Source organism: Homo sapiens, chromosome 3, assembly GCF_000001405.40.
Source record: "Homo sapiens chromosome 3, GRCh38.p14 Primary Assembly".
In the NCBI taxonomy this organism is placed as follows: domain Eukaryota; kingdom Metazoa; phylum Chordata; class Mammalia; order Primates; family Hominidae; genus Homo; species Homo sapiens.
In genome coordinates, this window is record NC_000003.12 from 128451163 (window position 1) to 128473204 (window position 22042).

Sequence of the window (22042 nt, forward strand, 5' to 3'; positions counted from 1 at the left end):
GTGATGGCGATGGCAGGGCGGGGGTAGTGTTGGCATGGTTTTGAACGATGAGGGTGTGTTGGTGGAGGTGGAGGTGACGGTGGTGGTGGCGACATGCAAGGGCAGTGGGAACAGTGGTGCGGGAGGTGGCTGAGGGGATGACGGTGATGATGACAGGGATGATGATGGTGAAGCTAGTGACGGTGATCACCTTCCTACACACCAGCATGGCCGACAGACCGTTGAGCAGATTCATGTAAGGAGGGGAAATGAGGGGCTGATCTGTTCCAATGGCAGCAACCTAAGGAGACCATCCTTCAATCCAGGACTGCCTGGGCTCCTGGCCTCACCACACCTGTGTGATTTCTTCTCCTTTTGACTCAGCTTGTACCCATTCAATAGTGTTCCTCCTCCCTTTTAACTGAAGTTGGCTGGGGTTGAAGTCTGTCCCTTGTAGCCAGAGAATGCTAACTGGTGCAGATGAGACGAGGAACGGTGGGGTGAGCTAGATGGGGCCCGTTCCTTCCCACCTCCTGCTGGCCTCTCCTCCTCTCTCTGGCCTCTGAATGTCCTTGGATTTTTCTTCATCTCTGTTCACTCTCTGGGTAATCTTGTCCACTCTCATCCCCTTAATACCATGCTATAAGCTAATAAGTCTCGAGTATCCATCCCCGGTCCTGACTTTTATCCCGAAGCCAAATCCACGTGTCCGGCTATTTACCAGGCATTTCTTACATGGCTGCCTGTCACACCTCAAACTCAGCCTGACCGGCGATGCATGGGACTTTCCTCCAGACACCTGCTCCCTGCACTGTCCTGTGAGCAGCATCTACAACATGTCTTACCAGCAGCCTTGGGGCCATCCTTGACTCCTGTCCCTCGCCCCTACATCCGATCCACCAGCAAGCCTCATCAGTTCACTTTCCAGATGCAGCCTCCCAATATCCGCCTGCACCGCTGTGCCTCCCCATGCCGGGGCCCCAGCAGCCTGCCCCATGCAGCAGCCAGAGCAGTCCAGACAGAACAGAGGCCAGCTCCTCCTCCACCCGCAACTTCCAATGGCTGCCCATCTCCTCCACAAGGAACACAGCTCTTCAAAGGGCCCATGAGTCTTCTGACGTGGTGTAGCCTCTACCACCTCTTCTATACCTCCTCACCCCGTTCGGCTCAGGGGATGCTTTGCTTTTCGGGAGTGCTCCTGCCCCAGGGCCTTGGCACCGGCTGTGCTCTCCACAGGGAATGCCGCCCCGAGCTGCGCCTGCTTCCTCACTGCCTTCAGGTGGGTGATGATGGAGCCTCTGACCAGGGCACAGGGCCTGGAGGGAGAACCCACAGGATGTGGTGTCTGAGGGAGGCATTCAGGATGACTCCCAGGTGCCTGGGAAGGGACACAAGATGGGATTGGCTTTGGAGAAGAAGATGCCAAGTGCTTGTGAGGCATGGGGAGAGAGGGGCCATCCAGGGTGGAGCACTCAGGACACTGCCTGGTAGACCCATCACCTGGAGCCCAAGGCAGAGACCAGACTGGGAGGCAATGCCCCGCCTGGCGACGGCCGCCTGGGGAGGGCTGACCCCCATCCCGCCACCCCCAGGGCAGCCCCTGCAGTGAGCAGCAGCGACACTCCACTAGTATCCGCCAGCTGCTAGGGAATCCAGCCCATGGTAGGCCGCAAAATCAGTGGCTGAGCTGGTGTGAGCAGAGCTGGCACCGCTGACCCAGTTCAGAGAGAAGCGTGGCCACTCTCCTGGGGAACAATTCCACAGGCAGCCCTGCCTAGCTGGCAGCTGACAGCGGATCAATAAGCCCAATTACTGATTACCTTTTTAATCAAATATCAACGTACAGCAAGTATGACAATCAGCCTCTTGCAATTACGGCTCCTGCCTGCCTTTCCTAGAGGGATGCTTGGAGGGCCCAGCTCCAGGACCACACAGGTTGGGGGGCTACGCCACAGCCATGCCGTGGGAGAGCCGGGGGGACTCAGCAGCACAGCAGGGCCACGCTGGGCTGTTTGCTCCCTCTCCTATGGCCACAGGAATTCTGGGGCCACCAGCCCGATCTCCTTTAGCGACGAAGGGCAGAGCTTTCTCCAGTCACCTCCATGCTCAAATGAGCCCCGCTTTGTGCTGGGCAAACTGGGGTCAGATCAGAAAGTGTCCCTGCCCTCAAGAGCTGGACCCAGACCCAGGCAACTTGAATGCCAGATGAAGATATTCAGGAACCTGCAGGTAGAGAAGGACTTGTTCCTGGGATCCCAGGGAGGGAGAAACAGGGGAAACACAGGCCGCAGAAAACACGCAGCTCCAGCCGCCCTTGATAGGGAAGCGTTGAAGGGACGCTCCTGGGGATGGGAGCCGAGTGGCTGGGGGAAGGCTGAGTGGGTATGGCGAGGCTCAAGGTAGTGGGAGGTGGCCAAAGCCAGCAGCGACCCAGGAACCTGAAGGAGACTCGTGCCCTCACCACCACCCCAGAACCCCACGACCCCAGGGGTTTCCTGACCGGCTGCTCGGGTGACCGCAGGCATAACCACGGCGCCCGGGGGCTTGAGTGACTGGCGGTGCCAGGTTCCTGCTTTGGGGTGTGACAGCGCAGTGTGGTTGGCGGGCAGGTGGCCCCAGCCCCGCGCTGCCCAGCACCCGTGCTCCCAAGCCCCATGGAGGGCAGGCCTGTCCCCAGGCCACACCCCACCGAGCTAGGGAGTGCCAGGCCCAGGGACATGGCCCCAGGGATGGGGAGGGACGCTCAGCAATGTTGCCTGAGGTCACACTCAACCTTTGGTGAGTCCTGGACCCCTCTGAGATGCTGATGGAGGCTGTGATCATATCTTTTCTTAAAACAAAACAAAACTACCTGTGGACCCACATCTCCACATGGTCTGCATCCTGGGTCCCCAGGGGCCAGCTGCCCCTCTGTATCCTCTGCTCTGAGCTGTGATCCTGGGCCCTCCTGGGGACCCAGACCCAGACCATTCCCAGGGTTAAACTGAAGGGTGACTAATGCCTCTAGACAGACGAGATGCCACAGCCAGGGCTCTGGGACAAGGGACACAGCCTTGGGGAGGAACCGCTGGGAGTGTCTCCAGAGCCAGGGGAAAAAGATAGAGAAAGCCAGTCCCAGAGAGAGGCAGGGACAAACCTGAGGTCTCCAGCAGGGGGGCCAAGCGGGTCCTGCACCCTCCCAGCCTTGGCCACATGCAGGCACTGGCTCTTCTGCTCAGGAACCCCCAGCCCTGCCCCCACATCCCATCTCCCAGGTCCTGCTGCCAAGCTCCTGCCACATGGGCCTCCTCCCAGCCCTGCCTCTCAGCCCTAGCCTCCTGGTCTCTCCTCCTTTGCTCTGCATCCCAGGCACAATCTACCTCCTCCCCAGGAGGCTCCTCTTCAGGGACAGGCACTAGGGGCAGGTCCTGCCCAGGGATCCAGGCATTCGAGTGCCCCTCCCTGAGCAACCTGGAATATGGTTCCCCCAGGCGGGAGGCCATTTGAGGAGTAGGTGGCTTTGAGCCAGCCTCTCAACAGCCCCTCTGTCCAGCCCTGTGGGGAGATCACCTCTTCTCTCTGCAGGCTCTGTGGTGGGTGGAACAATGTCCCCTCCCCACAAAGATGTCTTCGTCCTAATCCCCAGAACCTGTGTGTTCCCTTAGATTGCAAAAGGGACTTTGCAGATGTGACTGAGTGAAGGATCTTGAGACAAGAAGACTATACATGATCATCCAGGTGGGCCCTAGATGTAATCCCAAGGGCACTTACAAGAGGAAACAGAAGGGTCAGAGTCAGAAAAGGAGACTGGAGGATGCTGTGCTGCTGGCTTTGAAGATGGGGGAAGGGACCACCAGCCAAGGAATGCAGGTGGCCTCTGGGCTGGAAAAGGCCAGGAGACGGGTCCTCCCTTGGACACTTCAAGAGGAAGACACCTTGATTTTAGCCCAGGGAGACACATTTGGGACTTCTGGCTTCTAGAACTGTAGGACAATAAATTTGGGTTGCTTTAAACCACAAAGTTTGTAGTAATTTTCTACAGAAGCAATAGAAAATGATTGCAGGCTCCTTTTCTGAAAAACCCAAAAGACAGTGAAAGAGAATTGCAAAAGAGAGGACGCGCTGGGGTGAGGAGGGACCCAAGCAAAGCCCAAGCGTGGCCTCAGAGGCAGCAGGAAGCAGGTGGGCTGCCCGCACCCTTGTCCCAGCCCCCAGGCCCCTGAGGTCCCTGGAGTAGTCCACTTCACAGAGAAAGAGAGTGGAATGGGGGGCACCAGGAGCTAGGGGGTGCAGAGTTAGAGGTGAGTGAGGACAGCTTCCATTTGGGAAGAGGAAAGAGTCCTGAGACGGATGGTGGTGAGGGCAACAGAGCAGTGCAAATGTGCTTCATGCCTCTTAGTTGTCCACGTAAAAATGGTGAAATGGTAAATCGTGTTGTGGGTATTTTACCACAATTAAACAAATACAAAAATAGCCCATTGATGGTAAAAGAGAGAGGTGGGAGGCGGTAAAGGACGAGGCTGGAGAAGAGGTTGGACCCCATGCGAGCCTGTGGGTCCCAACTGGGGTTTGGACTTTGTCCAGGATCTTGGTGAGGAGTGTGGAGGCTTCCACCCGCGGACAGAGCGGGCAGTTTGAATTTGTCCTTAAGACCTTGGAGTGGATTTTAATATTTCCCTGTGAGCCACTCTGGGGAGTTTGGACTTCAGACTCATGATGATGAATGATCCATGCCCTCAGCAAGAAGCAGAGCACCTTGGTATTTTCTGAAGGCTGGAGGGGATGTGCCCAGGTCAGAAGATGGCTCGGGCCGTGGGGAGGCCACCTCTGACAAGCTGGTGCTGGTGCCCAGGGCCCAGGGAGGAGGCTGGGGCAGGGATCGGGTGCATTGGAAACTGAGCATCTGCAGAGCCCCGGGGCCACCAGGGAAGCATCCAGTGGACAGTGCTGTGCAGACCTGAAGTCTGAGTCCCAGTCTTATGCTGAGGTTGCCAGTAGAGGTGTAGCCCTGATTCATAGCCTGTATTTTGAGGCCCATGTTGTGAACTGGGCACTGGGAACAAGCTGTGAGCAGCACCCACCTCCCAGGGCCTCGAGCTAGCTCCTGGTGGGTGCAAGGCACAGGCAGAACCAGGCTGTGGGGTGGCATAGGCAGGGTGGCAGTGGGGTTGGTGCAGGTGGCAGGGAGTCGCTCCGGGGAGAAACAGCATCTGCAAAGGTAGAAGGGCAGGGCTGAGGCATGCCAGCCCGAGCCTGGTGAAGGGTTCTGAGCAGTGGTGGCTGGCAGAGCAGAGTCCAGACGTCTCGCCTCCTTCTCTGCTGTCTCCTGGCACCTTCCCAAGTCCCAGCACACAGAGGTGATGATAAATGCTTGCTGGGATAAGTTAGATGGGGGCTGTTGTTCCGGGCCCCTGTTCTGGGAGGGATTGGACGACTCTGTCCTGTGAAATGGGCATACAGATGCCCACCGGGTAGGGCTCCCTGGAAGGCAGATGACAGTGAGTGGACAAAGCCCAATGCAGGCGCTCAGTGCCACCCTCCATCTGCAAGATGAAGTGAGTATTGGCAAATCTAGACGATGTGATTGTTGTAAAAGCCAGACCGAGGGCCCTGGGAGTTGTCTGTGGAAGCAGTGGACATCCCAGCTCTGAGCTGAGCTTGGTTCCCTGTCCGGCCAGGGAGGGGCTGTGAGGTCTATGACCCTGGCATGGCAGAGTGGGCAGACTGGGGAGGCCTGAACTTCCTACCAAGACCCTTCCCCAGCAGACAAGAGGAGAATCTCCTGCTCAGTGGCAGGCTGCTGGGGGAGAGGGGACAGGCAGGCCACCTGGGGCCGGGTAGGCAGCGAGGCGGGAAGGCAGCCGTCTCACACCCTCCCCCAGCCCCCTCCAGGGGCTCCATCTCCACCCCTCACCTGGGCACCTCGAGCTATCTCCCTGGCTCCTTGGCATCTCTGTGTCTCCATGGTCCCTGGGTCTCCGGAATCCCAGTCTCCCCTTCCTTCTGTGTCTCTCCCTGTCTCTGTCACCGTGTCTCGTTGCTCCCAGTTCTCCTGCCCTCCCCGTCCCGCCCACCACAATCCCCTCCAGCCCACTTGGTGCCCTTATCTGGGTCTGCCCCGCACAATTGCTGGGAGCCCATCCCCATGACAACGGGGCAGATGGCGGCTGCGATTAACCACTCTCCCTCCCTCCGCAGCTCAATCCGTCTTTGAAATTAAATCAGCTGCGATAACATCGACCGGCCAGAGGGAGGGAAGGCGGGCAGGAGGCTGCCTGCGCCCCACCCACCCTGCCCCAGGCCCAGTGCAGAGGGAGAGGAAGAGGGGTGCAGAACTGGTTCTCACTGTGGCCCTGTGACCTTGAGCACGTCTCTCGCCCTCTGAGCCTCAGTTTCTGCATCTGCAAAATGGGGGTGAACAGTCATATCTCTTGCTTGGCTCGGTGGAAGGCGTGGGGGAGGTTGTGCAGTAGGCTGAGAACACTGTACCTGCCCACCCAGTCCATGCAGAAGCCTGAGCCCCAGTGGGCAACCCCTGCCTGGCCAGGCCTTAGGGGCCAAGGCCAATTGAGTAAACCAGCTCCTCGTGGCTGAGAGGCCACAGGCCTGGGTCCCCACCTGCTCTGCAAGCCCAGCGCATCTCCCAGGGCCTTGACACTCTAACTTGTAAAATGCTCCAGCTTCATTGAATCCTTGCTTAGATGCCATCTTGTCCACTCCCTCCCCCACAGCATTTTGGTCCCTTCAGACAGCCAGGGCCCTCACAGGATGTATGGACCCAGGAGTGGAGGGTGGAGAAGATGGAGACCTGCCCCGGTTTGAGACCTCCCAAGGAAGTAGCAATCAGTGGGGTTCGCTGGGTGGGCTGTGGGTCCCAGGCAATGGGGTCAGCATGTTCGAAAGCTGGAGGTGGGAGGCAGGGTGGGGCCAGAGCACAGAAAGCAAGAGAGAGCGGGGAGGCGCGCCTGGATTTGAGGCGAGGGAAGGCTGCGTGTGATCCAGAGCAGGGCTCTGGGTGGAGGTCACAGCCAGCTCAGAGGCCCCATGCAGGAACACGCCAGTGTGAGTAGGAAGGGGAGGAGGCCGGGGGCTGGAGCAAAGAGTGATGGGGAAGCCGAGGCGGTCACTGTGCAGGCTGGGGAAGGGCCTGTGGGCCGCCTTGGGGACAGCAGCTTCCACTCCTGAGTGTTCCACAAAGCTCAGGCTTTCACAGAATCCTTCTGGCTGCTGGGATATAAACAGGATGAAAGAGGGAAGGGAGGAGGCCAGGGAGGAGGCTGGCGTGATGTCCAGTGGGTGACAATGACCCAACTGGGACACGGCCATCATCTTCGCGGGGAGCTACACTCTGCAGTGTCCCCTGCCCCTCTGCTGAGCTCTGCTTGGAGAATCCACGCTGGGATGGGGCCTGGGGCAGCAGAGGAGCCTCAGCGGACTCCACTTAGTGTGCCGCACAAGGTGCGGCCAGCCTCAGCCTGGCTCTGAAAGTAGCTCACAGACCCCTCACTGCCCCGCCCGGCTCTGAAAGTGGCTCCCGGACCTCTCACTGCCCCATCTGGCTCTGAAAGTGGCTCCCAGGACACCTCGCTGCTTCAGACTTGGCCCCCAGACACACAGCCCAGCCTAAAAGAGACTCCAGGAAAGGCCAGAATGGCCTGCCGCAGCAGTGCAGCTTGGCAAGGCCTCCTCAAGAAAGTGACACAGAGTGGGGGCCTCCTGGGATGACTTTAACAAGCCGAAGGAGATGGGAAGGGCGGCCCAGGCACGGGCAACAGCGTGATGCTGCAGCAGAAAGGGCCTGGAGCCAGCAGTGCTGTGGGGCAGGCCCTGGGCCTTGAGTGCCGCGTGGGGGTTGGACTTAACCCCAGACGTGCTCCTGAGGAAGTCACTTAAGCTGCCAGGCTTCAGCTTCTCTGTCTGTAAAGTGGGGCTAAAGGTGGACACAGGGATTCCGCCAGGTGTCACATGCTCGGCTGAGTGGGTCAGTGGCTGGGGTCCCGGAGGCATTTGAGCAGGGGATGCCATGTCGGGTCTGGTTGGAGAGAGCTGGTGCCAGCTCCAGGTGTGAGGCTGGGCAACAGGAAGGAAGCAGAGAGCCGGGAGTCCTGGGGTGTTTGGGGACCGGTGCTGTGCAAGCACCCAGGTTTCTGCTGTGCACCCAGCACTAGGACTGTGGCCGCCTGGGCTGCTGGGCTGTAATTGGATTTGCTCAGCAGCTGCCTGTGCTAAGCAGACCCACTTGACGCAGCCACAGCTGGCCAGTAATTGGTGAAATTAGCAAGTCGGCGGGGACAGAGGTCAGGTGGTTAATGCTGTAGTGGGGGCTTTGATGAAGTTAGTCCCAGGGAAGGACTGGGACCTGGGGTTTGACCTTCTGCGTGTCACAGGGCTCTCCTGCCCTGCCTGTAACGTGGTTAGGGGACCTCCAGCTGCCGGCTTGTCCCAGGGGCTCTCAGAGGCAGAACCCAGGGAGCCACAACCTGGCCCGAGCCTCAAGATGCAGCCGCAGCGCCAAGTTGCCGACTGTGTCCTCTAGGCCGAGACACATGCTGAAGCCAAGGGAGCCTTTCAAGCCCTAAAGATCTTGGGGTGATGCCCCTTGTCTTCCTGGAAGAGGACTTCAGCAGGCTTCCCTTGGAGAAAAGCAGCAGGCCCACCTCCCAGCCTCTCCATCCCTCGTGAGTGCCCCTCAGACCAGCTCTGCATCTGGAAATGGGATGAGTTCTTCACTGGGTGTTCCCCTTATTCAACCAAGCCTCACCCTCCCGGCTAGGTTAAAGGCTTCCCAGTGTCTTCTCCTGTCCTGAGCTCCAGAGAGTGTCCTCTGAGCATGCTGCTTGGTTCCTGCTCTTCCCTGACACAGTGCTCCTCCCTTCTTTCATTTCATATCATTTATTGGGCACCTACTAGATGCCACGAGCTGGGCTGGGAGTTGGGATGCAGAAATGAGCAAAATCTGACCAGATCCTAGTCGACTTGGTGCTACGCCTTTTGTGGCCATGCCACATCACCTTGCCCCAGCCAGGGAGCCAGAGACCCTGTCACTGACCATCCTTTAACCCCCAAACCTGGAATCACCTCCTTTTTGGCTTCTACTCCAGCCCCAAGGAACAAGGAATTGCCACCTGCACTCAAGCACTCAAACGCATCTCCCTGGGCTGTCACCGCCAGCATCATCATCATCATCACCACCATTTTAAAGGCAGGTCCTTTGGAGTCAACACCTGGGGTGATATTCTAGCATAGCCACTTGCCAGCTGTGTGACTCTCTCCTCTCCAGACCTCAGTTTCCTCTTGGATAATGTGGGGTCAATGACCCCTGTCTGGGAGGGTTGTGGACAGTTGTGGGCATTAAATGGAACCCTGTATAGCCACCTTCCTGGCCTTCTTGCTGTTCTCCAAACAGGGGCAGGCGTGTTCCTGCCCCAGGCTTTTGCGCTTGCTGTTCCCTCTGCCCAGAACGCTTTTTCCCCAGATGGCCTTATGGTCCAGCACCTCACCTTCATTCCAGTTCCTGATAGACGTCACCCCCTCAGAAATGGAGGCCACTCTGTTGGTTTGTTTTTTTGTTTTGTTTTGTTTTTCGTTTTTGTCGTTTTTTTGTTTTGTTTTGTTTTGAGACAGAGTGTCGCTCTGTCGCCCAGGCTGGAGTGCAGTGGCGCGATCTAGGCTCACTACAAGCTCCGCCTCCCAGGTTCAAGCCATTCTCCGGCCTCAGCCTCCCGAGTAGCTGGGACTGCTACAGGCGCCCGCCACCACGCCCAGCTAATTTTTTTGTATTTTTAGTAGAGACGGGGTTTCACCGTGTTAGCCAGGATGGTCTTGACCTTGTGATCCACCCACCTTGGCCTCCCAAAGTGCTGGGATTACAGGCATGAGCCACCGCGCGCGGCAAGGCCACTCTGTTGAGTGTTGAGTGACTCAACACTCCCCTGCCCACTCCCTGAGCCCCCTTCTCAGTCAGCTCACCTGCCCATTTCCTCTCCGGCGTTCATTGCTAGTGGGGACCATGTTCTGCACACCTGTTTTTCATGCGTCTCCCTCAACTAGAATACTAACCACATGAGGGTAGGGGTCTGCCTGTTTTGTTCCTTGCTGTATCCCCAGTGTCTAACAGGTGCTCAATCAATATTTCTTGAATTGCATCCAATTAATAGTGCCTGACACATCTGTGAGTTTGAGATTGTTTCACAGTAAAATGTTACTTTTTTTGAGGAGGAGTCTTGCTCTGTTGCCCAGACTGGAGTGCAAGTGGCATGATCTCAGCTCACTGCAACCTCCACCCCCTGGGTTTAAGAAATTCTCCTGTCTCAGCCTCTGGAGTAGCTGTGGTTACAGGCACTCACCACCACGCCCGGCTAATTTTTGTATATATTTTTTATTTTTAGTACAGATGGTTGTTTCACCACGTTGGCCAGGCTGGTCTTGAACTCCTGACCTCATGATCCGCCCGTCTCAGCCTCCCAAAGTGCTGGGATTACAGGCGTGAGCCACCGCACCCAGCCTCAAAGTAAAACGTTACTTTTAAAATACATACTTTTTAAAGATTGGCACTCAGCAGGACTCAGGTCATCAGGACAGAGTCCCCTTTCCTTTTTAGCACCGGCACCCTCCCGTGACGGGGAGCTCACTCACCCTCCGAGGGGGTCAGCCTGGCTCTGACTTGGGGAAACCTCTGGCTCCACGTGGCTGAGACCTGCTCCCTGGGATCCTGCCCCCACCCATGGATGCCAGGCCTGAAGATGAGTGGGCACTCGCCAGGGAGCGTGGCCTGTACAAAGGCCCTGGGGCTGCAGGGTGTGTGGTGCAGTGCAACAACTGGGGAGGCCAGCACGGTGGGAGGTCAGAGACCAGAGACAGAAGGCCGGGGCAGGTGGGTGGGCCCAGGCCACCAGGCCCTTGTGGTGAGGATGAGATGTGCAGTCCTTATGCTTAGCGCAGGGAGAGCCTGATTTAAAGCTACCAGGCAACGTGACTGAACGTGGGTTTGGCACAGCTGTCCCGGGAAGAACTTATGCGGGTGGGTAGAAAGGGGAAGGCTGAGAACGGGAGCAGCAAGGCCTGTGCAGATGGCAGGGGCCAGCAGTAGAGAGTGGATAGGGGTCAGGGTTGGGTTTGAGGTAATCAGGACAGGGCAGCCACGTTATTTGTCAACCCAGATGGTGGGCACAGGAGAGATGACAGTCCCCCTGCAGAACCACCCCTGGCTTCCTGATAGAAACAGCCCAGGCCCTGGAGGCAGCACCCACTCCCTCCTTCATGTTCACTAGGCTGGAGCTGGCCCCATGTCCCCACAAAGCTGAGAAAGCTATGCCATGAACTCACTTGGCACATTTATTAACCATCAGGCTATGTCTGCGGCCCCACGTGTTTGCTGCCCCATGCACGGTGGTGGTGGTGGGAAGGCAGGGCCGGGTGGCCAGCGCCTACTTGCTGTCCATCCATTTGAGCTGCTCCTTGCCGTTCACAGTCACCGACTTGAGCTGCCCGTCTTCCTCCACCTCCACGCGCTCCTGCCCGTTCTCCACGATGCGCTTGGTGGTGACCTTGTGGCCATTGATCATCTCGGTGGACGACATCACCGACTTGAACCCCGAGCTGCCAGAACTGGAGCCCCCGAAGGAGGTGGATGAGAAGGTGGTGTGGCTGCCCCCGCTGCAGCCCAGCATGTTGAAGGATGAGAAGGCCTCCATGAAGGCCGGAAATTCTCCAAAGCCTGCCGAGAAGGCCCCCCTCAGGCCATGGCCCCGGCCACCACGGTCACTATTGAATGGGCTGTCCCAGAACTCAAAGGAGAAAGGGTCCAGGCCACCAAAAAACTCCCGGAAGATGTCCTCAGGGTTACGGAAGGTGTAGCCGGTGTCGAAGGGGCTGTGGTAGGGCGTGCTGGCCCCGCCACCAGCCCGCCAGCTGTCACAGCCAGCACGGTCATACAGGGAGCGTTTCTTGGAGTCAGACAGAACCTCATAGGCCTCAGACACCAGCTTGAACTTCTTCTCCGCCTCCTCCTTATTGTCAGGGTTCTTGTCGGGGTGCCAACGAAGGGCCAGCTTGCGGTAGGCTTTCTTGATGTCCTCCGGGGAAGCGCTGGCCTGCACGCCCAGCACTTCGTAGTAGTTAGCCATGGCCAGGGGTGTGGGTGAGAGGAGAGGGAACGTGGAGGCCAGGTGGGCGCAGGGGCCCAGCTGGTCAGATGGACGGGGGAGAAGTGGCCGGTGGTCTGGGGCCCTTCAGCAGGGGCCTGGCTGGACTCCGCAAGCTCTAGGCAAGATTCTGCCCAGGAGTTCACCTTTTCGTAGTACCAATTCTCAGGGACTGGAGGGGCCCCCACTGAGAGGAGTGGGGGGAGGGGAGGGACACTGCCGCTGTGGGGCCAGGCCAGAGTGGGCTGCCCTCCAGAGCTCCTTTTATGACGTCAGCTCCCGGGGCGGGGCATACCCCCGCCCCCAGCTCCTCACCAGGCAAACCTGGGCATATGGGCCTGCCCCTGCTGGTGAGGTGGCCACAACGGTGTGTGGGAATGGGATGCTCTGTGACCCAGGTGGTGTGGGCTGAGTCCCGGGAGCCAAAGGGCAGAGGCAGGATCAGCCACGGGATTCCAGCCTTGGTGAGTGACAAAGGTCTGTGGCCGTGGTGGGGGAGGCGGGCAAGGGCGTCCTGGGTATGTCCACTCGGCCGATGGCTGGGCAGCAGCTGAGGCAAGAGGAGGCCAAGGTGGGGTTCAGGCAGGCTGGGGTGGGGACAAGAGCCTGCTTTTTTTGTGCCCATTATCTGGCCAGGTCTTCCGGGGTAAGCTCCACAAAGGCGGGAAAGTCTGTCCCTGTCTAGGACAGTGGCTGGCACACGAGGGCCGTCGGTAAACTCTTGGATGAACCAGGCTCAGAGACACACAGTGCTCAAGGTCACACAGCGAGTCAGTGAGGGAGGGGATGTGAAACCAGGGCCAAGGCTGCAGCGGACAGCAAATCCAAAGAAGTGTTCCACTCAATTCTGGTAAGAAAAATAGGAATTGATGATAAATATTGATTACTGACTGTAGTGGGTTGAATGGTGGCCCCCAAAAAGATATGTTCCTATCCTAATCCTTGGAACCTCTGAATGTGAGCTTATTTGGAAAAAGGATCTTTTCGGATGTAATTAAATTAAGGATGTCGAGATGAGATCATCCTGGATTATCTGAGTGGGCCCTAAATCCAGTGACACATGTCCGTATAGGAGATGGACACTGACGCAGCTGGAAGCTGGGGGCCAGGAGGGTTCTCCCTGCAGCCTCCAGAGGGAGTGCGGCCCCACTAACACCTCGATTTCAGACCTCTGGCCTCCAGAACTGGGGGAAGAGATTTCTTTTGTATTGAGCTACCCAGTTTGTAATAATTTGTAACAGCCCTAGAAAACGAATCAGGTGAGTGAGGTAACCAAATATTCTTAGGCATTTATATTCCTTTAATTCTTGTTCTGGTGTTGGATCATATATAGAAACAGCAATTCACAATACTGATTAATATCTGTTCCTACCTTCACCTCACCCCACTCCAATTAAGATCAAAACCATGCTAAACCACCTACTAACCACACCAATAAAGAGCCTAGATGTTTGGGTCACCAAGTCTTAACTAAAGATAGCCTTCCTGCCTGCCTTCTTTCCTTCCTCCCTTCCTCCCTCCCTCCTTCCCTCCTTCTTTCCCTTCCCTTCCCTTCCGTTCCCTGCCTTCCTTCCCTCCTCCCTCCCTCCCTTCCCCCTCCTTCCTTCATTTCCTCCTTCCTTCCTTCCTTCCTTCCTCCCTTTCTCCTTCCTTCCTTCTTTCTTTCCTTCCTCCCTCCCCTTCCCCCTTCTCCCTTCCCTCCCTTCTTCACTCCTGGCTTCTTTCCTTCCTCCTTCCTTCCTTCATTCCTCCCTTCTTCCTCCTCTTCCTTTTTCTAGTCTTCATCCCTTTCTATTATCCTCCCTCTCTCTCTTTTCTTTCAGTGCTCATGGGTGCTAGGTTTCAGGCTCCTAGCAGGGGACAGTGTGTGTTCTAACCAATCCCAAATGCCAGGAGGAATGGAGACAGACTGTAGAGACACTTTGTAAACCCAGCCTCCAGTGACCATCGCTGTCCCTCCATGCAGCTTATCAAAAGCACGACTCGCACCCCCATGCTGGGCATCCACCCACCTACACCTGCTGACACATGTGGCTTAGCAGAGGAGTTGAAGAGCAGAACTTCTCCACTGGATGTAGCTACAGATGAACCTGATTCTTTATCTCTGTGGCTGGATTTTTGTCACTATGTCTCGGTTAGCAGTTAGCACCTGCTGTCCCTTGCAGGCTTGTTCCTGGGGCGGGAGAAAGATGCTTGCCCTGCACAGTTCTCCATGATGGCGGTGGCAGTGGGAGAGGCACTGCTGTTGACTGTGTTGCTGGTGGGGAGAGGCACGGTGGGTGTCCATGGAGATGGATAAGGTGTCATTATATAGTAGAGGTGACCATGGGAGCAGTGTTGATGTGGAGGTAATGGTCATGGTGGGTGTGAGGGGGAGAGTAATTATGGGTGATGGTGGAGTTGATCATGATGATGGTGATGCTGGTGGTGACAGCAGCAAGGCTTGTGCTTGAGAGTAATTGATGATGGTAGTGGTGGTGGTGATGGTCATGCCAGAGGAGATGGTAACAGCGAGCCTTTGTTGTGGTTGGCAGTGATGGTGCAGGTATGATGAGGAGGTGATGGGAATGGCTCCTAGTGAGCCATTGGTGTGGTTGGCAGTGGTGACAGTAATGGTGATGATGAAGGTGAAGGTGGTGGAGGTAGCAGAGGTTGTATCTTGTTCGGCTATACCACAGTGACAGCTTCCACCTCTCAGTGGCTCACGACAAACATCTAGTTCCCCCCACTTCACTCACTGGTGCCTACAGGCAGCTGCCAGGGCCCCACCTCCCATAGCTTCTCACTGTGGGTCCCAGGCTGGAGAATCAGCTCTGACCTGCACACCCCTCTCTCATGACAGTGCCACTCAGAGACAGCAGGAACTTGGGCTGCCTCTGAAAGCTTCTGTTGGGCCATGATGTGTGGCAGTCTTGCTGCATCCCATGGTCAAGGCCAGTATCCATGGGGCAAAGAATGTTTCCTTCAGGAAGGTTCTGCAAATCTCAGGGCAATAGGAAGAGAGGCCTGAGATTCCCATGGGGAAGAGGGAGTGAGCAGTTCTCCAACATATGCCAGATGCTCAAGATGGGACTGACAGCGGGGCTGGTAACGATGGCTCTGCTGGGAGCAGTGTTGGTGCTGCTGGTGCCGGGGACACCCGTGGTGGTGATGGGATAGGAGGCAGGAATTGTGCTATTAATGGAGGATGGTGGTGAGGGTGGTTGTGGAAGAGGCAATGGTAGAGGGGGGTGCCGAGGGGTGAGAAGGACACAGTGGTGGACATGCTGGTGTGAGTGCCGATGGCGATGGTGATGGCACTGAGGTGTGGGGCTCTGTATTTTCTGTTGCTAACTTGGCATTACACCAACCTCTTCCATGGTCTCCTTGCATCCTGGAGAAATCTGAGGGATTTTCCAGAATCCCATCACCGGTATAATTCCAGACTAGAGCCTGCCAATACAAGGGATTTGGAGAGTGGAAAAGAGAGGCCGTTGCAGGCAGGTGACAATGGTGAGCTTTGCAACAGCTCGGGGCAATCTTCTGCGAAGACCCTGCTTCTGAGCCACAGGCTGAGGCATGGATGGGGAGCTTCCTGGAATACCGTGAGCTCCTCAGCAGCTCCCAGGCAAGCTCTAGAGAGCCGCTCACCTGGGAGCTGCAGGTGAGCATCTCGATTCCTTGTTCCCTGACCGCTGGTCCCAGACTGTTCAGGGTGCAGCGTGTAGTAAATGTCCTCCTCCTTGGTACACATTTGAGGGCTGTGTACTGTGAGGGTGATGGCGGCTCAGATGAAGGTGGTGGTTGTGATGGAGTTGGGTGTGAGGATAGCAGAGAGAAAGCAGATGGTGACATCAGGAAGGCATTGGAGGGGCAGTGGTGGTGGCAGTGATGATGGTGGCAGTCTAATTAGAGGCAGTGGTGGGTCTGGCTGAGGCAGACCCGGTGGTGGTGATGGTGGTGGTAGTAGAGGGGGCAATGACGGTGGTGATGGCAAAGGCGGTGTGAGTGGTTGATACTGGTGGCAGAGCTGATAAGGTGATGTCACAGATGGGATGGTGGGTGGAGATGGAGGTGGAGGAAGTGTGGTGACAGTGATGTGGTGGTGACACAATGCTGACACGGGTGGAGAGCACCGTGGTGACGGTGACAGAGATGATAGTGATAGTGGGGCTGGTGGCAGTGGTAGAGGAGATGGGGATGGGACGCTGGGGTGTTGATGGTGATGGTGACACTGCTGAGGGTGTTGGTGGCCTGACATTGTAAAGGTGAAGCCTGAAGTTTCCATGACGATGGAATCAGGACAGTGGAGGAGGGGTGGTGAAAACAATGTTAAGAGACAAAGGACCTAGTATGATGAGGCATCCAAGAATCCTGTGGCCGCCTCCCCGTCCTGGCCCTCCCTGCCTTGTTGGAGACCCTGGCTCTGGTCTGCGTTGTACTCCCAGGGGAAATTTCTTCCAGCCACTGCCCTGCTCCAACCCTTGTTCCTGGGATGGGTCTGTGGGAGTCAGCCAGGATGGAGACAGGGCTGGAGACCCCCTCACTGCCGCCCATTCAGGGCTGTCTTAGGGCACACAGAACAGACCACTCGGTAGGACTTACGGGAACAGGTGTGTCACCTGGGAGCAGGTCCCACACCTCACCATCAAGGGCATCCTGAGATGGAGGCCCCTGTGGGGAGCTCCCCATGAAGGGAGCTGTGGACCGTGGAGCCGGGCAGTGTGCAGAGGAGTTTCCCTTCTGCAAAGGGTTCAGGCTAGTCTCCTTCCACGCCAGTTTTTGGGGAGCCAGTGGGGAGCATCAGGGGCTCTGAGGCCTCCATAGGGCCTGCTGGAGGGACAGGGACACACAGGCATGAGCGCACACTTAGGCCCCACACGCTCCACCGTCAATTCTGTCAGGCCACCTCCCCTCTTCAAGCCTCTCTGTCCTCATTCACCAGTGGGTGCTTTTGGGGATTTGCCCTCTCTGGGGAGCCAGCCTAGGCTTCCTGGCCTCAGATGTCCCATGTCCCTCATCTCAGGCCCACCCTAAAGCCAACCCCGAGCCATGGCCAGGGAGAGAAGGACCTTCAGCGACCAAGCGAGGCCCAGAGAGGGCAGGGCACACCGAAGGTCACACAGCAGTACCAGGAAGGTCTCCCCCGGGCGAGCTGATGGAGCCGATTAAGCAGCCAATTGGTATTCGGAGCAGCCAGAGGCCCCTCTCTGTCTCTGTAATTAATGGAGTGGCTTTTTAAAAGGATTCTAATCACCCCCGATCCTATCTGCTTATCACTAGAGTTCCTAATTAGATGATCCTGGCAGTCACTCAGCTAATTCCCTCCAGCCCCCTGCAGGCCTGCCTGGCCTGGGCAGCCCACCCCACCCCCGGCCACCCTGGCCCGGCCAGATGGGCAGTTTGGGGCCTTCTCTCCCCTCAGGGCCCCTGGTCCTCTAACTGCATTAGCTCCAGGATGGATGGGCGACAGCGATGGATGGATGGACGGGCGGCTGGATGGACAGAGTGGCAGGCGAATGAAGGGGCTGAACGGTGGGCAGTCACAGAGTGGATGGGCGGATGGACAGACAGACGGGCCAAGGGGCAGATCCCACAGTGGGGAAGAGCTCAGCCTGTCAGGTGACACAGCCTGGGTTCCAACCCCAGCACTGCCACTCCCCAGCCATGTGTCCTTGGGGAAGTCAATAACCTGGCTGTGCCCCAGTGTCCTCATCTCATCTGTAAAAGGGAAGTAATGATGGTCCCCTCTCACAGGGTTACTGTGAGGAGCTCAGAATGGAGAAGGAGCTGTGTGTGCGTGTGCTGGCATCCTGGCAGTGTCGATAATGGGTGGGCAGAGACAGATGAAAGGGCAGCCTGCCTGGTGAGCCAGTGGAAGCCATGGTAGGCAGACAGGCCCATGGCAGGCTTACATGCAGATTGGTGGCCCATGGGGTGGGAAGGCGGTGGGCTACGCAACCGTAGAAGGGCCAGTGAGCTCACGTCCTCCCCAGTGGTGCCAGGGCGATCTCAGCTCTGCTCTCAGACCTCTTCAGGCAGCCTTCCTGCCCAGTCCTCCAAGCCAGTGATGACAGGTGCCCACTGGGTTGCCCAGATCCCTTCCCTGCCATCCCAACCCAGGTACATCCTTCCTGGTGGTGGCTCATGTGGTCTCTGGAGGCTCAGATCTAGCCCCAAGTAGGGGTTTACTGCCTGAGTGAAGGCATCATTTGCGGGGCCCTCTGAGTTCCAAGTTGCTTCAGCCAGTTAGGGCAGCTCCCCTCCTCCAGGGTCCCAGCACCCAGCCCCCCTGGCATACAGCAACCCTAGGCAGGGCTGTTACCCTGAGTTCCTCAGTTACTCGAAGCCTCCAGGAGGATCCAACCCCCAGAGCCTCTCCATTCACCCACGGGGCTCTGCAGTTTCCGGGGTGTGGCATTTCCGGGGTCTTTCTGGAAACAGTATAGAACAAAAAAGCCTGAAGTATCTTCCAGAGTAAAGGCGTGCATGCGTATGCACACATCTGTACCAGCAGATAGCCACCCATCTCCCCATACACACACCCATCAATCCACCCACCTAGCCACACACATACCCAGCTACCCACACACCCAGCCACTCACATACCCAGCCACTCACCCACCCAGCCACCCACATGCCTAGCCACCCACCCACCCAGCCACCCACACACCCAGCCACCCACCCACCCAGCCAGCCACTCACCCACCCAGCCACCCACACAGCCAGCCACCCAGCCACTCATACACCCAGCCACCCAGCCACCCACCCACCCAGCCACCCAGCCACCCATACACCCAGCCACCCAGCCACCCAGCCACCCATACACCCAGCCACCCAGCCACCCACACACCCAGCCATTCACACACCCAGCCACCCCCCCACCCAGCCACATGCACACCCAGCCACCCAGCCACCCACACACCCAGCCATTTGCACACCCAGCCACCCACACACCCAGCCACCCAGCCACCCACACACCCAGCCACCCACACACGTTTCCTGAGCAGTTGTCCATACACGTGCCGTGTACCAGGCACTCCCCTGGGTCTGGGGTCCATATGTCAGTGAAGGCACCAGACAAAGCCTTGCCCTTATGATGCTGACATGCAGTTGGGGAGATAGGAGAAACTGATAATGCATGAACATTTAACATGATGGCAGGTGTCATAGATGCCGTGAGAGAAAACAAAGCAAGACGGGGGCTTACAGGAAGCTGGGGCTCTTAGGGAGGTCAGATTGGGTGCCCCACACTTCCACAGGTATGCTCAGGCACCCACGCCCCCATGCATGTGAGCACGCCTGTACACATGGTCACACATGTGCACACAGGCCCTCCATGAGGCCTGTAGCCCTGCTGTGTTTCCAAAAGCATGGGCCCTGCCGTCCCTCACCGGGAGGTCTGGCTGCCTCGTGCCTCTCTCAGCCTGGGCCCTCCCATCACCCAAGCCAGGCCTGCTCCCTGGAGTCCAGGGCACATCTGGGTCTTACTAGGTCTGCTAGCAAAGGGCCTGGGCGGCTCCTATGCGGCCAACAATTCAGATTCACAATTCTTCCCTGCACTGGTCTGAGTGGGGGCTGGAAACAGTTGAATTCAGCAGCATCACCCCTGTCCTCCCACGCAGGGAACTCCCAACCCCAGGCTCTGGGGAAGGAGCAGACACACACCAATGTGCGAATGCAGCTGCAACACTCGCTGGAAGGAGAGGTGACACTGTCTGGGGCGTCTGGGAAGGCTGGTCAGAAGAGGTGACGCCTTGGCAGGGCTTGGAGAGGGAGGTTCCAGCAGGGTCGGCCTCACACACATGAAGGGTCTTGGATGTCGACACTGGACATCCTTCCCCAGGGAGGTAGTTCATTCAGTCATGGAACATTTCAAGGTGGGAAGAAGGTGTTCATCACATGGCTATGATCATGTACCCATTGCAGACCACCCTGTCCTGGGGGCATGAGGAGTTCATCTCCTAAATCAGTGGTTCTCAACAGGGACAGTCCTCCCTCCCCAGGGGACATTTGGCAATGACTGGAGGAGTTGCTACTGGCATCTCCTGGGTGGAGGCCAGGCAGGGCTGCTGCTGAACATCCCTGTCTAGTGCACAGGACAGCCTCCACCACAAAGAATCATCCAGCCCCAAATGTCAACAGCACCGAGGTTGAGAACTCTGTTCTAAGCCCTGAAATTATCATTTGACAAGCGCAATTATAATGCAATGTCTTTTTGATGCACCAAAGGCATTAATGTCTTCAATGTGAATATTTAAAACACACAGGTGACCTGTTTGGTGATTTATTTCTTAATAAAGCAGGAGCCTTGTAACATGGGAGTGGTTCCATGCAAAGGGAACAGCATGCACCAGGCTCAGTGGCTCAGTGGAAAGAGAGCAGGCATCTGTAGTTGACTACACCTGGGACCGAAGGGATGGTGGGAATAGAGCCCAGAGAGGGGCAGGGGCTGCACAAGGCAGGGCTCAGACCCCAGACCACAGAGCATGGATTGTGTCCTGGGAGGGGGAGACCTTGAGAAGATTTAAACAAGGGGAGAATGGGATCTATAGCATACTCTAGAAAGATCCCTCAGCAGCAATGAGATTCAGTTTTATACCCACAAAATTGGTAAAAATGTCAGTTTGACACTGCCAAGTGTTGGCAAGGAAATGGAGCAACTGAAATTCCCACACCCTGCTGGTGGGAACATACATTGGAACAGCCAATTTGGAAAATCCTTCTAAGGCTTATGCCCCGAGGGAAACCCTCACACGTGGGAATAGGGACAAGAACACTCATTGCTGCACTGTTTATGGTAGCAACAGACAGGAGTGACCGAAATGTCCATCTTAAGGAGAATGAGCAAATACCTTGTGTTACAGCTGCACAGGGGACTATGACACTGCAGTGAGAACGAAGAAACCGACTCCATACGTGAGCATGGAGGAGCAGCCCCAGCATGGCAGTGAGCAGCACAAACCAGTCATTGAAAGCATCATTGTGACACCATTTATTGAAAACGTACACACATGCAGAATAATGCGTTAAGGATTTATACATATAGAGTAAAAGTATAACAACATGCATGGGAAAATGAAGTCCTGGCTACTTCTGGAGGCGGGCAAAGGGGACAACAAGGTCAAGAGAGTTCCATGATATCTGTAGTGTTTCCCTCCTTAAGCTGGGCTGGGGAGGGTATCAGAGGGACTTGACGCTGCCTCCACTCTCCTAACTCCTGGAGCTTGTGCCCTGGAGAGTGAGCAGGAACGTGACCTGCATGCAGCCAATAGCATACGCAAAGCAGGGGAATACTATCGGGGCCGCGCTTCACCAGCTCTCTTGACGCCTCCGTCAGCTGCGCACTGTGCAGGAGTGAGCTGCCGAGACTCCTGCAGCTGCAGGGAGGTGAGCTCTGCCAGTAACCTGGGGGGTGCTGAGATGCAGATCCTTTCCTAGTTGAGCCTCTGATGAGAAGCCAGCCCAGGTCAGCAGGTGGACTGCAGCCTAGTGAGGGCCTGGGCAGAGGCCGTGGCTGAGCTATGCCTGGGATCCTGGCCCATGGAAACCGTGAGATACTAAACACGTGTGGTTTCAAGGGGCTAGGTGTGTGGCAGTTTGTGATACAGCATAGAAAATCAATGCCAAGGCTACCATGGTGTTGCTTATATTATTAGCTATATTTTTAGATAACTGAAATATTCATAATTAAGAGGTTAAGAAGAGCCCCTGTGGTGGCCTCACCTTCAGGAAGAAGAGACAGAGTGCAGGGCGTGAGCCTGGAGGCTGGGAGGCCCAGGAGGAGGCTGGCACAAAGGAGAGGGGACAGGCCATGCAGTCCAAGGTGAGGAAGCAGTATGGGCTGGTGTCAGGGCTGGTGGTGTGTGTTTGTGTGTGTGTGTGTGTGTGTGTGTGTGTAGAAAGTCCCCTTCATCCCTAGATTCTGAGGAAAGGGAGGGGCCCATGCCAACATCCCCTCA

General features: G+C 56.8%; 1 protein-coding gene and 2 long non-coding RNA genes across 3 annotated transcripts, besides 3 other annotated features; 2 read left to right on the top strand and 1 right to left on the bottom strand.

The window, feature by feature from the left end:
* Positions 957-1457: an enhancer, noted in NCBI's record as "H3K4me1 hESC enhancer chr3:128170962-128171462 (GRCh37/hg19 assembly coordinates)". NCBI's record gives its function as "activates a minimal SCP1, AML or CMV promoter by ChIP-STARR-seq in naive H9 embryonic stem cells {active_cell/tissue: H9 hESC(naive)}" and the evidence as "EXISTENCE:reporter gene assay evidence [ECO:0000049][PMID:30033119]".
* LOC124909429 (uncharacterized) lies at positions 2044-3975 on the top strand. Its single transcript, XR_007096076.1, has 2 exons — positions 2044-2208; positions 3624-3975. It is a non-coding gene; the product is annotated as an uncharacterized LOC124909429 (long non-coding RNA).
* Positions 7607-8127: an enhancer, noted in NCBI's record as "H3K4me1 hESC enhancer chr3:128177612-128178132 (GRCh37/hg19 assembly coordinates)". NCBI's record gives its function as "activates a minimal SCP1, AML or CMV promoter by ChIP-STARR-seq in primed H9 embryonic stem cells {active_cell/tissue: H9 hESC(primed)}" and the evidence as "EXISTENCE:reporter gene assay evidence [ECO:0000049][PMID:30033119]".
* Positions 8128-8647: an enhancer, noted in NCBI's record as "H3K4me1 hESC enhancer chr3:128178133-128178652 (GRCh37/hg19 assembly coordinates)". NCBI's record gives its function as "activates a minimal SCP1, AML or CMV promoter by ChIP-STARR-seq in primed H9 embryonic stem cells {active_cell/tissue: H9 hESC(primed)}" and the evidence as "EXISTENCE:reporter gene assay evidence [ECO:0000049][PMID:30033119]".
* Positions 11275-15728, bottom strand: DNAJB8 (DnaJ heat shock protein family (Hsp40) member B8). Its single transcript, NM_153330.6, has 3 exons — positions 15452-15728; positions 14114-14274; positions 11275-12948 (listed from the first exon to the last, which is right to left on the bottom strand). Exon 3 carries the CDS (start codon positions 12081-12083, stop codon positions 11385-11387), a length of 699 nt encoding a protein of 232 aa, NP_699161.1. The 5' UTR covers positions 12084-12948; positions 14114-14274; positions 15452-15728; the 3' UTR covers positions 11275-11384.
* DNAJB8-AS1 (DNAJB8 antisense RNA 1) lies at positions 12432-21155 on the top strand. Its single transcript, NR_037890.1, has 3 exons — positions 12432-12565; positions 12738-12951; positions 19706-21155. It is a non-coding gene; the product is annotated as a DNAJB8 antisense RNA 1 (long non-coding RNA).
* The last annotated feature ends 887 nt before the right edge of the window (positions 21156-22042 follow it).